We start from the raw sequence: 14,012 nt of genomic DNA on the forward strand, positions 1-14,012 counted from the left end.
GTCTCAAGAAAAAAAAAAAACTACCATCACCAATAATGGAGAGATGGACAACACGTGCCTCTCCAGATGTGATATCCTGAGAATGGCACAATATTAACTATGCAGAACCCTGGCCAAGAATGCATAACTCCAACTTATTGTAAGAAAACATCAGACAAGGACAAAATGATGAAAATTCTACCATATAAATTTCTTTCTTAGAAAGTCAGTTGGGGAGGATAGAAACTATATTTTTATAAAATATCAATGACATAAAAGACAAAGGAAGGCTGTGAAAATGTTTCATATTAAAAGAAGCTGAAGAGACATGACAAATGCAATAACTTACCCTAGACTGGATTTTTTTTGCTGGAGGGGAAAAATGCTATCAAGAACATTATTAGGTCAGTGAACAAAATTGGGATATGAATGGTAGATTAAAGTATTGCATTTTAGATGAGATACATGCATCCAAAAAAAGAAAAAGTATATTTTAAAAAAGTATTATACCAATGTAAACTTATAAAATTGGTAGCTTCATTGAGGTTATGCAAGAATATTCCTTTTCTTATAAAATATACATGGAAATACTTAAGAGTAAAGGACTATAATATTTGTAACCTTCAAATGGTTCAGTAAAAAATTATACACACCACACACACACACACACACACACACACACAGCTATGCATGCATACGCATAGAGAGCAAATGATAAAGCAAATGGGGTAAAATGTTAGCAATTCAGGAACCTAGGTAAAGGGTGTATGTTCCTTGTACTGTTTTTTATACTTGCAACTTTTGTTAAGTTTGAAATTATTTCCAAATAAAATGTTTTTAAAAGGAACCAGAAATCATGTATTTTAAAAGATGTTCAACTTCACTACTATTCGAAGAAATGTGAATTAAAATATGAGAGAGTGGGCCAAGCAAGGTGGCTCACACCCATAATCCCAGAACTTTGGGAAGCAGAGGATCACTTGAGCCCAGGAGTTCAAGAACAGCCTGGCAATATAGTGAGACCCCATCTCTAAAAATAGATAGGTAGATAGATAGATAGATAGATAGATAGATAGATAGATAGAAAAATAGATGATAGACAGACACATACACACATACACACACACACACACACACACACACACACACACGGCAAAACCACATCCCTCCAAAAAAAATACATGTATACAAAAATTAGCTGAGCATAGTGGCAAGTGCCTGTAGTCCCAGTCACTCGGGAGGCTGAGATGAGAGAACCGATTGAGCCTGGGAAGTCAAGGCTGTAGTAAACTATGATGGCACCACTGCATTCCAGTCTAGATGACAGAGTGAGATCCTATCTCAAAAAAAAATTACAATTAAAATTTTTTAAAAAAAATTCTAGCCAATAGAAATGAAATATTAATGTAAAAAATGACCATAATAATACAGTGGCTGGTAGAGTAGCCATGTTGCCCGTTTGGCAGACTGTTCTTTGAGGTACCAGGATATTGTGCAGAAGAGGGTCTTAACAGGGCAGACCAAAGAGCCAGAGCTGGTAAGCCACATAGCAGTGGTCAGTGGAATGACTCACAATGAAGTATTCTGGGCTGTGAAGTCCAGAAGATCAGGGACTTTGACAACAGGCAACTTTTGGAAAGCCAAGCAGAGGAGACTCTTCCAACGTTGTGGAAAGGGGATGTGATAGTGGAAGAATTTGTTGCGTGCTGACCTTCAGTATATGGTCTCTGACCTGGCAAGGTAGCTCAGGCCGATAATCCTGACCCTTTGGGAGGCCAAGGCGGGTGGATCTCTTGAGCTCAGAAGTTCAAGGCCAGCCTGGGCAACATGGCAAAACCCCATCTCTACAAAAATTAGCTGGGAGTGGTGGTGGTGCATACCTGTAGGATCAGCTACTGGGGAGGCTGAGGTGTGAAGACCGCTTGAGCCCAGGAGGTCAAGGTTGCAGTGAGCCATGATCTCCACTATATTCCAGCCTGGGAGATACAGTGAAACCCTGTCTCAAAAAAAAAAAAAAATATGATCTCTAAGTAGCCTTGTCTATTGTACACAATCTCATTTTATGTGCATACATTCTGAAAAGAAACTTAAATAAAATTGTGCAATACTTTTTAAAAGAAATGTCTATGTGGTACCGACTAGCTCATTGTTGACAGTGGGGTATGTATCCATTGTAAGAGCTTATAGGAGCATGAATTCAGAATTCACCAATGTCTATCATACAAATAGGAAGGTGTACTAATTCTCTAGATGTCGTTCCTCATCAAATAACAATAATGATGGAGCCAAAGAGTCCATGCCACAGTGGCTGAATTTGAGTCTACATAATGAAGACTCTTGGATATTTTGTTCACAGGGACTGGATACAGAATCCAACAACCTGCTAGCTGAAAGTGGATTTGCTGATTTCCCATATCTTTCAGTGTATCCACTTTCAGTTACATGCCATCTTTCTGTGCCCTTGCTATGGTTTGAATGTGTCCCTCAAAGTTCATTTGTTAGAAACTTGATCTCCAATATGATGGTGCTGGGAGGTGGGGCTTGATGGGAAGTGTTTGGGACACGGAGAGAGCACCATCCTTATGAATGGATTGATGTCATTATGTCAGGAGTGGGTTCGTTATCACAGGAGTGGGTTCATTACAAGAGGGCAAGTTCAGCCCCTTTTCTCTTTCTCTACCACTCTCTCACCTTCCACCGTAGGATGATACAGCAAGAAGGCCCTCATCAGATGCCAGCACTTGCTCTTGAACTTCTCAGCCTTCAGAACTGTGAGAAATAAGTTTCTGCTCATTATAAAATACCCAGTGTTAGACACTATGTTATAGCAACAGAAAACAGACTAAGACACACCCATCATGGCATTTACCATACTTTGAGAAGCAGGAAGCCTGTTTAAGGAATCTACAAATTGGTAGGTGCACCAGAAAATACTACTGTCCATGTCAGATTCATTCTCCTCTTCTTCTTTATTAATAGGACCCCAATTTTATTCAGATAAACAATGTTCTTTGCTAAAAGATCACATTTCCTAGCTTTCCTTGCAGCCAAATGTGACCATGTGGCTAATTTTGGCCAAGGATGTGTAAGCTGAGGTTGTGTGGGACTTTTAAAAGACTCCTTTAAAAGGAAACAGACCTTTAGGGAACACCCTTTTTGCTCTTAGCCTTTCCAAAAATTGGTGGAAACCAGAATTCTATATGTAATGGTATCTCGCTGCAAAACAGAAAGAAGTCTACATTCTAGATAACTCTGTGGGGCCTACATAAAAGACGCGATGCCTACCTCTGTAAATCTTTGATGTGAGAGAAAAATAAATTTTGATCTTGTCTAAGGCACTTGCATCCCTGTTATCTGCTGTTGAATGCAATTCCCAAAGAAGGAATGCCAGAATATTATCTATTTAAAAAACGAAAACTTTTCTCAAGGCAGACCTGACAACACAGAGCTAGCTGGGTGTCCAAAGTGACCAGTTCAGTGCCTGTTTCCACTGTTTCTAACAACTCCAGCATTCCTGGAGCAAAGGGTGCAAAAATGAAGATCAGGATAGGGTCAAAAACACTTTTGTGATTGAGGATTTTAGTCTTATTTCTAGGCCTATACTTTAGAGAACCATCTGTGAGACTAATGGGAGGGAAAGAAATTATACATAGGGCCCCAAATTATCAGGGAAGGGACATATTACTAAACCAATGGTACCAGGGGAAATTACCATTTAGAGATATCACATAACACTGTTCCCTCCCAACTTACAACAAAATAACTTTTGGTTGGATTTAAAAGTTAATTGCATAAAACAAAATCTTACAAATGCTATAGGGGAGAAAAAGTGAACATTTAACTGATATCAATTTGAAACAGCATTTTCAAAATATAAAAGGCAAATTACAACAGAAAATATTACCACTAAAAAGGACTGCATCAATTTAATAATCTGCTAGTTTGAAAGCATAAATTTAAGAGGCAAATTACAAATTGGACAAAATATTTTAGCAAATATGTGTTCAACAGAAATTTATTGACCGTCTAGTACATATAAGAACTGCCCAGTGCCAGGCACAGTGGCTCATGCTTGTAATCCCAACAATTTGGGAAGCTGAGATAGAAGGATTACTTGAGGTCAGGAGTTTGAGACCAGCCTGAGCAACATAGTGAGACCCCATCTCCACAAAAAATACAAAAATTAGCTGGGTTTGGTAGCACCAGCCTACAGTCCCAGCTACTGGGGAGGTTGAGGCGGTAGGCTTGCTTGAGCCCAGAAGTTCAAGACTGCAATGAGCCAAAATCGCAGCACTGCACTCCACCCTGGCAACAGAGCAAGATCCTGTCTCCAAAAAAAAAAAGACATTGGAGACTACAAGAAGGAAGAAGGAGGGAGGGAGGAGAAGAAAGGGTTGAAAAACTACTTATTGGGTACTATGCTAGCTACCTGGGTGAGGGGTTCAGCCATACTCCAAACCTCAGCATCATGCAATATAACTTTGTAACAAACCTGCACATGTACCCCCAGAATCTAACTAAAAGTTGAAAAATGAAAAAAAAAAGTGCCCTAGTTCCTGGGCATCCAGTGGTGAACAGTGCAGCCACATCTGCAGAGATGCAATCTACAATCTTAGTGACAGGCACAAGTAGTGCTCATTACCAATCAAGTATTTACTTAGAACTGTGATCAGTGCTACAGAGGAGAATATGACCTATCAGATACAGAATGATTAACAGTGGTTCTACACCTCCCAGGGTTCTTTTTGTTGCTGTTTGTTTTTTGGTTTTATTTTTTATTTATTTATTTATTTATTTTTTTGAGACGAAGTCTCACTCTTGTCCCTCAGGCTGGAGTGCAATGGTGCAATCTCAGCTCACTGCAACCTCCGCCTCCCGGGTTCAGGCAATTCTCCTGCCTCAGCCGCCCGAGTAGCTGGGATTACAGGCGCCTGCCACCACGCCCAGCTAATTTTTGTATTTTCAGTTGAGACGGGGTTTCGCCATGTTGGCCAGGCTGGTCTCGAACTCCTGACCTCAGGTGATCCACCCGCCTCGGCCTCCCAAAGTGCTGGGATTACAGGTGTGAGCCACTGCGCCCAGTCTAAGAATTATAACTTTTATAGTAATTACAAAGCAACAGATATGTGGGAAATTTTTTTAAGAAAATAAAAGTTTGAAGTACACTGTCATTTTTAAAAATGAAAAAATATATTTTTATATAACATTATCTGGATTAAAAAGTAAATGTTTCTGAAAATTATGTAAATGCTTCAGTTAGTAGATCTAGACATATTCTGATAAATTACTAAAACTTCTTACTTCACGGTATTTGTAAACACTGTATTTATTAGATTCTCTAACTACCAGAATGAGAAGTATTTGTAAAAACTGATGATCTGAAGAAACGTTACTTTCTTCCCATTCAGCTAATTCTGTATGTTAAAGTGCATAAACGTGTCTCCAGCAGAAGAAAAATGTATTATCTCACACAGATGATTTTAGAATTTCGCTACCTTAGGTCAAAAGTATAACAGCCCAATGAGCTATAGATTTATCTCAGTTTTTTCTTACTGTGATATTCTATTGTTAAAAAGATACACATATTGTTTCAGTGACCAGTGCAGCTAGCAGTCAAAATGGATGCTTTCAACTCTACTCAGCAAGCTAGCTATTCCCAAAACAATCTTGAGAGAATAGTTCAGTAAGGAATTTGGAGTTTTCAGTTTAAAATGATGTCTAGCTGTTCCTTGGAGAACTGGCTAATTTCAATTCTTGAGCAGAAAAGTTACAAGGTGACCCTAACACATCTTGTACCAAAACACAGGACAAATTTAAGAAAAATGGAAATGTGTCAACACCAGTGCCAGCTGGATGGGCTCCCACCAGCCAACTCTTGGATAATCGGAGCATCAAAAAGAATAATAATTGCAATTGGTTGTCATACACTGATTAAGTTAAAAATTCAACTGCTCACTTAAAATATCTGAAAACTCAGAAAAAGAGAAAACTCATACCAACGTTGAAAATAAAGAAAAAATGGATGTGGGTCGAATGATGAAGCCAAAATGTAAATTACAGTTGATTGCTAATACACACTTTTCTAGTTGAGAAAGATAATCTTCTAGTCCAAAGGACAGAGAAAAAAACTTATAAAATGAACCAAAATAGAGTAGTTTGAGTATTTTTATATTTTTCTCAAAAAAAATAATTTTTATATCTAATTGTATCCTTTTTTAAAATTAGTGTGACCAGTAAATAAAACTAATGGGCCATGAGTAGAACATAGATAGTCTGCCCTTACATGGAAGAATGACTTAGTTAACATTCACTGAGCACTGGTTATGTTCTAGGCATTATGAAAAATGTCTTATACACATTATTTCATTTCATCTTCACATCCACACGAGATAGGCACCATTACTGTCTCCTTTTTGCAAATGAGAAAACAGGAATCTGTACAACGAAAAATCAGTAACTATAGTAATTGATAACTACTAGTAATAATAGTAGTTGTGGCCAGGCACGGTGGCTCACGCCTGTAATCCCAACACTTTGGGAGGCCGAGGCGGGCAGATCATGCGGTCAGGAGATCGAGACCATCCTGGCTAACATGGTGAAACCCTGTCTCTACTAAAAATACAAAAAAAATTGAGCCGGGCATGGTGGTGGGCACCTGTAGTCCCAGCTACTCGGGAGGCTGAGGCAAGAGAATGGCATGAACCCGGGAGGCAGAGCTTGCAGTGAGCCGAGATTGTGCCACTGCACTCCAGCCTGGGCGACAGAGCAAGACTCCGTCTCAAAAATAATAATAAATAAATCAATAATAATAATAATAGTTGTAGCAGCAACTTCGTAAGGTTATTGTGAGGATTAGAGAAAGGAGTATAATACAATAAGAAATTTAAAGAATTTCAGGTAAAGATGATAGAATAAAGTTAGATCACAGAATCCTTTCCCTCCAATATCTAACAAAATAAACAAATAAATAAAGTTTGTAAAAAAAAAAACAAAAAATACAATAAAAAATCAAACACAGTAAGAGATACTAAATTATGTTATAGACTGAAAAGTTTCAGCCAAGACAGGATCATAATCCCCATACCTTCTTCCAAGGAATGGTTATGAAGAAAAATGTTAAGTTCAACTAAATCCCGGGAATTCCCCCAAACTTTGAGAGACGTGAGAAAAGGTAGTAAGTCGGCAGCTCAGAAAAACATCAAGGAAAATCCATGAAAGTAGAATTTTCTGCTTCTCACTCATCATCTGCCCAGAGGCTACAGTCTAGTTGCACACTAGAATCATCTGGGAAGCTTTTAAAATTATCAATTGCCAGGATACAATCCAGATAAACTATAATTTTTATTGGTAGGATACAGGCATTGCTATTTTTAAAAGCCCTTCAGGTGCTTTTAAAACATGAATGTGCGCTCAGAGTTGACCACGACTATGATAGAGCAATCCCTTGTGGTAATCATTTCCCATGGCCACATGCTGCAGTGGAGCCAGAAGGTATCTCCCATCATAGGCATAGAACAAACTCCAATTACATGGAGTAAGCCTGACTCAGGACATTAACAAAAACATCAAGAGGCAGTAAGACCTAGGTCTTTCAACAAAGGATACATGAAATATATTTTTAAAAACAACTAGAAAGATGGTCGATTTTAATATTACTAGATCCATTATCACATTAAATATAAATGGTCGGCCGGGCGCAGTGGTTCATGCCTGTAATCCCAGCACTTTGGGAGGCCAAGGTGGGTGGATCACAAGGTCATGGGTTCAAGACCAGCCTGACCAACATGGTGAAACCCCGTCTCTACTAAAAATACAAAAATGAGCTGGGAGTGGTGGCAGGCTCCTGTAATCCCAGCTACTCAGGAGGCTGAGGCAGGAGAATTGCTTAAACCCAGGAGGTGCAGGTTGCAGTGAACTGAGATCACGCCACAGCACTCCAGCCTGGGCGACAGAGCGAGACTCTGTCTCAAAAAAAAAAAAAAATATATATATATATATAGATAGATAGATATACATATATGGTCTAGGCTAGGTGTGGTGGCTAATGCTTGTAATGCCAACACTTTGGGAGGCTGAGGCAGGAGGATCAGGAGTTTTGAGACCAGCCTGAGCAACATAACGAGACCTTGTCTCAAAAAACAAACAAACAAACAAAAAGGTAAATGGCCTAAACACACCAATTAAAGGCAAAGATTATCAAACTGGATACAGAAATAATACATAACTATATTTTCTATATAAAACAATACATAACTATATTGTTTCTACATAAAAACATAGATAAAAGTAACAGGAATAAAGGAAATTGGAACTCTGATATATTGCTGCTATTAGAGCACTATAATGTAAAATGGTGCAGCCATTTTGAAAAGTGAAGTGGCAGCCGGGCGCAGTGGCTCATGCCTGTAATACCAGCACTTTGGGAGGCCGAGGCGGGCGGACAACCTGAGATCAGGAGTTCGAGAACAGACTGACCAACATGGCGAAACCCCGTCTCTAATAAAAATACAAAATTAGCCAGGTATGGTGGTGGGCGCCTATAATCCCAACTACTTAGGAGGCTGAGGCAGGAGAATCGTTTGAATCTGGGAGGCAGAGGTTGCAGTGAGCCGAGGTCATGCCACTGCACTCCAGCCTGGGAGACAGAGGGAGACTCCTTCTCAAAAAAAAAGAAAAAGAAAAGTGAAATGGCTGCACCACTTCACAGTCTAGAAGTTCCTCAAAAGATTACACATAGTATTACCATATGATACAGCAATTTTACTTTTTTATTTTTTTCTCCCCAAAAGTAAATAACCAACCAAAGTAATTTCACTCTTAAGTGTATATCCGAGAGAAATGCAAACATATGTCCACACAAAAATTTGTGATACACAAATACTCATAGCAGCATTATTCGTAATAGCTAAAAAATATAAACAAGCCAAATATCTATCAACTGATGAATGGATAAATCAAATCCGGAATATTCATACAATAGAATATTAGTCAGTGATAAGAATGAAGTATTAAAACACATTACAACATGAATGAACCTTGAAAACATTATGCTCAGTAAAAGATGTCAATCACAAGTGACCACATATTTTATGATTCCATTTGTATGACATGCAGAAGAGGCAAATCTACAAAGACAGAAAGGAGATTACTGATTTCCTAGAACTGGGAGGTCTGGAGGGAAATAGGAAGTGAGTGTTAATGTGCGCAGTTTCTTTTTGGGGTGTTGAAAACGTTCTAAAATTGATTGTGGTGATGGTTGCACAACTCTGTGAATATACAAAAAACGGTTAAATTGTACATTTTAAATATGAAATATATAGTAGGTAAATTATGTCGCAATAAAGCTATACAAAAAAGTAGACTAGGAAAATAAATTATGTTTGCATCCATTAAAAGATTTATTCAAGTTAAAGCTAACGTGATTTATCTTACAAATCTATAAACAAGTTTCTCATGGTTTTGAGTAACTTGATCTATTCAGAATATCCCTAATTAAAATGGGTCGTTATTGGCACAGCAATAGACAAATAGGCCAGTAAAAGAGAATGCTTAGAAAAAGGCCAACCTAAGTCTAGATATTTGGTATATCACAATAGTAGTAATAAAAATCAGTTGGTATGGGAATAAATTCAATAAACAAATTTGGCACAAATGGCTACCCATATGGAAAAAGATAAAGTTAGATGCTTACCTCACAGGATATACAAAAATAAATTTCCAGCTAGATTGAAAATCCAAAATTGAAAACTCCTAGGCCGGGTGCGGTGGCTTACACCTGTAATCCCAGCACTTTGGGAGGCCGAGGCAGGTGGATCACCTGAGGTCAGGAGTTCGAGACCAGCCTGGCCAACATGGCGAAACCCTTCGCTACTGAAAAAAAAAAAATTAGCCGGGTGTGGTGGCGTGCACCTGTAATCCCAGCTACTCGGGAGGCTGAGGCAGGAGAATCACTTGAAACTGGGAGGCAGAAGTTGCAGTGAGCTGAGATGGTACCATTGCACTCCAGCCTGGGCAAAAAGAGTGAAACTGCGTCTCAAAAAAAAAAGAAAAAGAAAAGAAAACTCCTGTTCTGCAAAACTTATTGCAAACAACAGACAAGCCATTTCTATGTAGATCCTGTAGAGAAAATCAATTTCATATGCATTGCAGCATATTTGGCAATAGAAAAAATTGGAAACAACTGATATCCATCAGAAGAAAGCAACCATTGTGAATTATTCATAGGATAGAAATCTATACAATACTAAATGTAACAACATGGATCAATCTCTAAGATCTAATGTTGTGTTAAGAAAGTAAATTTCAAAAAGGTATATTAAATATTATACCAATTATATAAAGTTTAAAAACAAACATATATGTATATATCATGAATACATACATACATATAAAGGAAAGTATAAAAGTAGACATGGAAAGAATACACACCATCTTGAAGATAGTGATCATCATGAGAAAAAATCCACTGGTCTGAAGAGTACTTTTTATCATGAGAACTTTTGATTACTAAAATTCTGAAATAAATTTAGTAAAATCTTCCCAGTGAATGTATAGGTGTCTGTTATTTTCTGTATGTTGGATGTATTTCATATTGTGAAAACATTTTAAAACCCCAAAGTAAACTTAGAAATCAAACACAAAAATTATATTTTTATAATCCTATTTTTATAAGATCTTCCTGTCTACTCTACATGTAACTATATAACCTGTATAACCTATATATAACTGTAACTATATAACTTATATATACATATATAACTATATAACTTATATAGATATAAGTTATATAGATATGTTATATATATGTAGACAGGAAGAGACGTGTGTAACATATATATAACATATCTATATGTGTTATATATGTATACATATGTATATGTAACTTATATATATCTTACTGCACAATCATGGCTCATTGCAGCCTTGACCTCCTGGGCCCAAGTGATCCTCCCACCTCAGCCCTCCAAGTAGCTAGGAAAACACGCAAGTGCCACCACACCTGGCTAAGTTTTTTTATTTTTGTAGAGCTGAGATTTCCCTATGCTGCCTAGGTTGGTCTCAAACTCCTGGGCTCAAGTGATCTTCATGGGAGGATATATCTTATCAGAATTTTATCTGAATTGTATTCAGATTTCCATATATATGCAAATTTGAATAAAATATGGAGAAATAAAAAAGCAAAGCTTTTTGTCTTTTATGTATTTATATGTTCTTCTCATTATAAATACACATATATAACATATATATAACTTACGCATATATAAGTTCTACCTTTACCTTCCGGATAAATAGATAGATCTAGAAAAATGTTCACCTAATATTAACATTTTATAATGAAAACACTGGTGTTTTTTCCTATATTATGCTTCTCAGTATTAATGAAATTTCTAATAATGATCATGTATCAATATTTTTTCTAAAAGACAAAAAGGCTAGGTGCTGTAGCTCACACCTATAATCCCAACAATCTGGGAGGCCGACACAGGAGGATCACTTGAGCTGCGGAGTTTGAGATCAGCCTGGGCAACATAGGGAGATATCAGCTCTATGAAAATTTTTTTAAATTGCCAGACATGGTGGCTCACATCTGTAATCCCAGCGCTTTGGGAGGCCGAGGTGGGCAGATCACCTGAGGTCAAGAGTTCGAGACCAGCCTGGCCAACATGGTGAAATCCTGTCTCTACTAAAAATACAAAAATTAGCCAGGCATGGTGGGGTGCACCTGTAGTCTCAGCTACTCAGGAAGCTGAGGCACAAGAATCGCTTGAACCCAGGAGGCAGAGGTCACAGTGAGCTGAGATTGTGCCGCTGCACTCTGACCTGGGCAACAGAGTAAGACTCTGTCTCAAAAAAATTAAAAAATTAAAAAAAAAATTAGCCAGGCGTGGTGGCACTTGCCTGTGGTCCTAGGTACTTGGAGGGTTGAGGTGGGAGGATCACTTGGGGCCAGGAGGTCGAGGCTGCAATGAGCCATGACCGTGCCACTACACTCCAGCCTGGGTGATGGAATGAGACCCTGTCTCGAAAATAATTAATTAATTATAAGAAAAAAGGCTTTGCTTTATTTTTCCCCATATTTTATTCAGATTTCTTTAGTTTTACGTGATGCCCATTTTCTGTTCTGGGTTGCCACATTACACTTAGTAGAAGTTTATGTCTCCTTAGGTTCCTCTTAACTATAATGGTCTCTCAAATTATCCTTGTTTTTGATGACCTTGACAGTTTTGAGGTGTACTAGTCAAGTATTTTGTAAAATCTCCCCCTATTGGAATTTATCTGTCATTTTCTCAAAATTACACTGGGGTCATGGATTCGGAGGTGGAAAACCACAGGTGTAAGATACCATTTTCATCATGTCATAAAAAGGGTACATACTAGGAACATAACCCATAGCTGTTGATACTGACCTTGATCACCTGGCTGAGGTAGTGTTTGTCATGTTTCTCCATGGGAAAATTACTTTTTTTTCTTCCTTCCATACTGTCCTCTTTGGAAAGAGGTCACTACGTGCAGCCCACACTTAAGGAGACAGGACTTTTACTCCACCTCCTTGAGGATGGAGTAGCTACATAAATTATTTGGAATTATTCTGTGGGAGATTTGTCTCTTCTTCTCCATTCATTCATTAATTTACTCTCAGCATGGACTCAAGAATATTTAATTTTTTACTTTGGGTTATAATCCATTACTACTTTATTTTCTTGCTCAAATTGTTGGAGCTTTGGCCATCCAGAGCTCTTTTAATTGACTCCTATGTCTCCTTAACATACCCTCCCATGTGTGTTTTTTCTTTTGTGTTGTATCAATTTTTCAAATCAATTCACAAAAAGATGAATGTATTAATAATTAGACTGATGCTAATAGGTATATTAACGGTGCTTATGTAGTATTAGGCACATAGACCTTAATGATAAGACGCTGATACATACAAATCAAACTTTTTTTCCAGCAAAATATTGAGTGTGTGTTTATTTACTTAGCTAACAATATTAGCTCAACAATATTATTACAAAGTTCTCCCTTTTTGAATTCTCCAAGTTAGAGAAACACTGACAAATCTATGGTATTAGTAGGCACTAACCTTTGTGGACCACTTACTATTTCAGGTACCATACTAAGCACTTAACATCTAGTACTCTGCTTAATCTTCACAACCTCAGAGCTAACCCCTGAGGAATGTGAGGCACTCCAGGAGTCTAGGCCACTGGTTCCCAAAGTGTGGTAGAGACCAGCAGGTTCAGTAACACCTGAGAATTTGTTATAAAGGCATATTCTTGATCCTCACCTCAGACCTCCTAAATGAGAAACTCCGGGGCTGGGGCCTAGAAAACTGTGTTTCAACATGTCCTGCAAGTAATTCTTGCTAATGCTTGAGAGAGCAGTGGAGCCAGACTTTAAATCCAGATATTAGACATCAGAGCCCATCAAAGCCCATGTACTTAATTACTTAATTGTACTCTCTCCCTATTATACTAAGAAGAAGACCAGTAATAGGTGATTTCTAGTTAAAAACTGGTCATAAAAGAGATAGCAGTCCAGGGCAGTTTCATTCTATTCCCTTTGTCTTCCAGTGCTTGACCAAGCAACTTTAAGTATTAAATTTACCGCTAGAGGGAGTCCCGACATTCCTCAAATGCTGAACCTTTTAAAAGCATGTAAATAAACACACACTCAATCCTTTGCTGGAAAAAAAAAAAGTTTGATTTGTATGTATCATCATGAAAACAATTTGTTTAAGCTACTTAACATGGAACAGCTGCATTTGGAGTGATATTGTTAGGCACAAATCTACTTTTAACAAATAAATACAATATACCATGATTGGTCACTTAACATCTTCATTTCTAAAACAGAACTGAAGAAGGGAAGGAGGAAACTCCAATTAGCAAAATAATAATATACTTTAAATTAAAATAATCTAGTTTAAACTACATTATCATCTCTAAATTCCTGATGAAATGAGACTGGAAAAGACTTCAACAAAATTAGCCAGTTGCCTCTACAGTGTCTCTTTCCGCATTGCTCTGAGCACT

At 37.8% G+C, this 14,012-nt stretch overlaps 1 long non-coding RNA gene across 1 annotated transcript in view; it reads right to left on the reverse strand.

Moving 5' to 3' along the window:
• The window catches only part of CIBAR1-DT (CIBAR1 divergent transcript), a 353,967-nt gene that overhangs the window by 334,217 nt on the left and 5,738 nt on the right, over window positions 1–14,012 (reverse strand). The window contains exons 2-3 of the long non-coding RNA NR_033858.1: window positions 2,671–2,748; window positions 1,860–1,975 (exon numbers count right to left, since the gene is read on the reverse strand). This is a non-coding gene — a long non-coding RNA (CIBAR1 divergent transcript). The remainder of the gene's footprint in view (window positions 1–1,859; window positions 1,976–2,670; window positions 2,749–14,012) is intronic.

The sequence above is a fragment of the Homo sapiens genome, chromosome 8 (genome assembly GCF_000001405.40).
Source record: "Homo sapiens chromosome 8, GRCh38.p14 Primary Assembly".
Classification (NCBI taxonomy): Eukaryota; Metazoa; Chordata; class Mammalia; order Primates; family Hominidae; genus Homo; species Homo sapiens.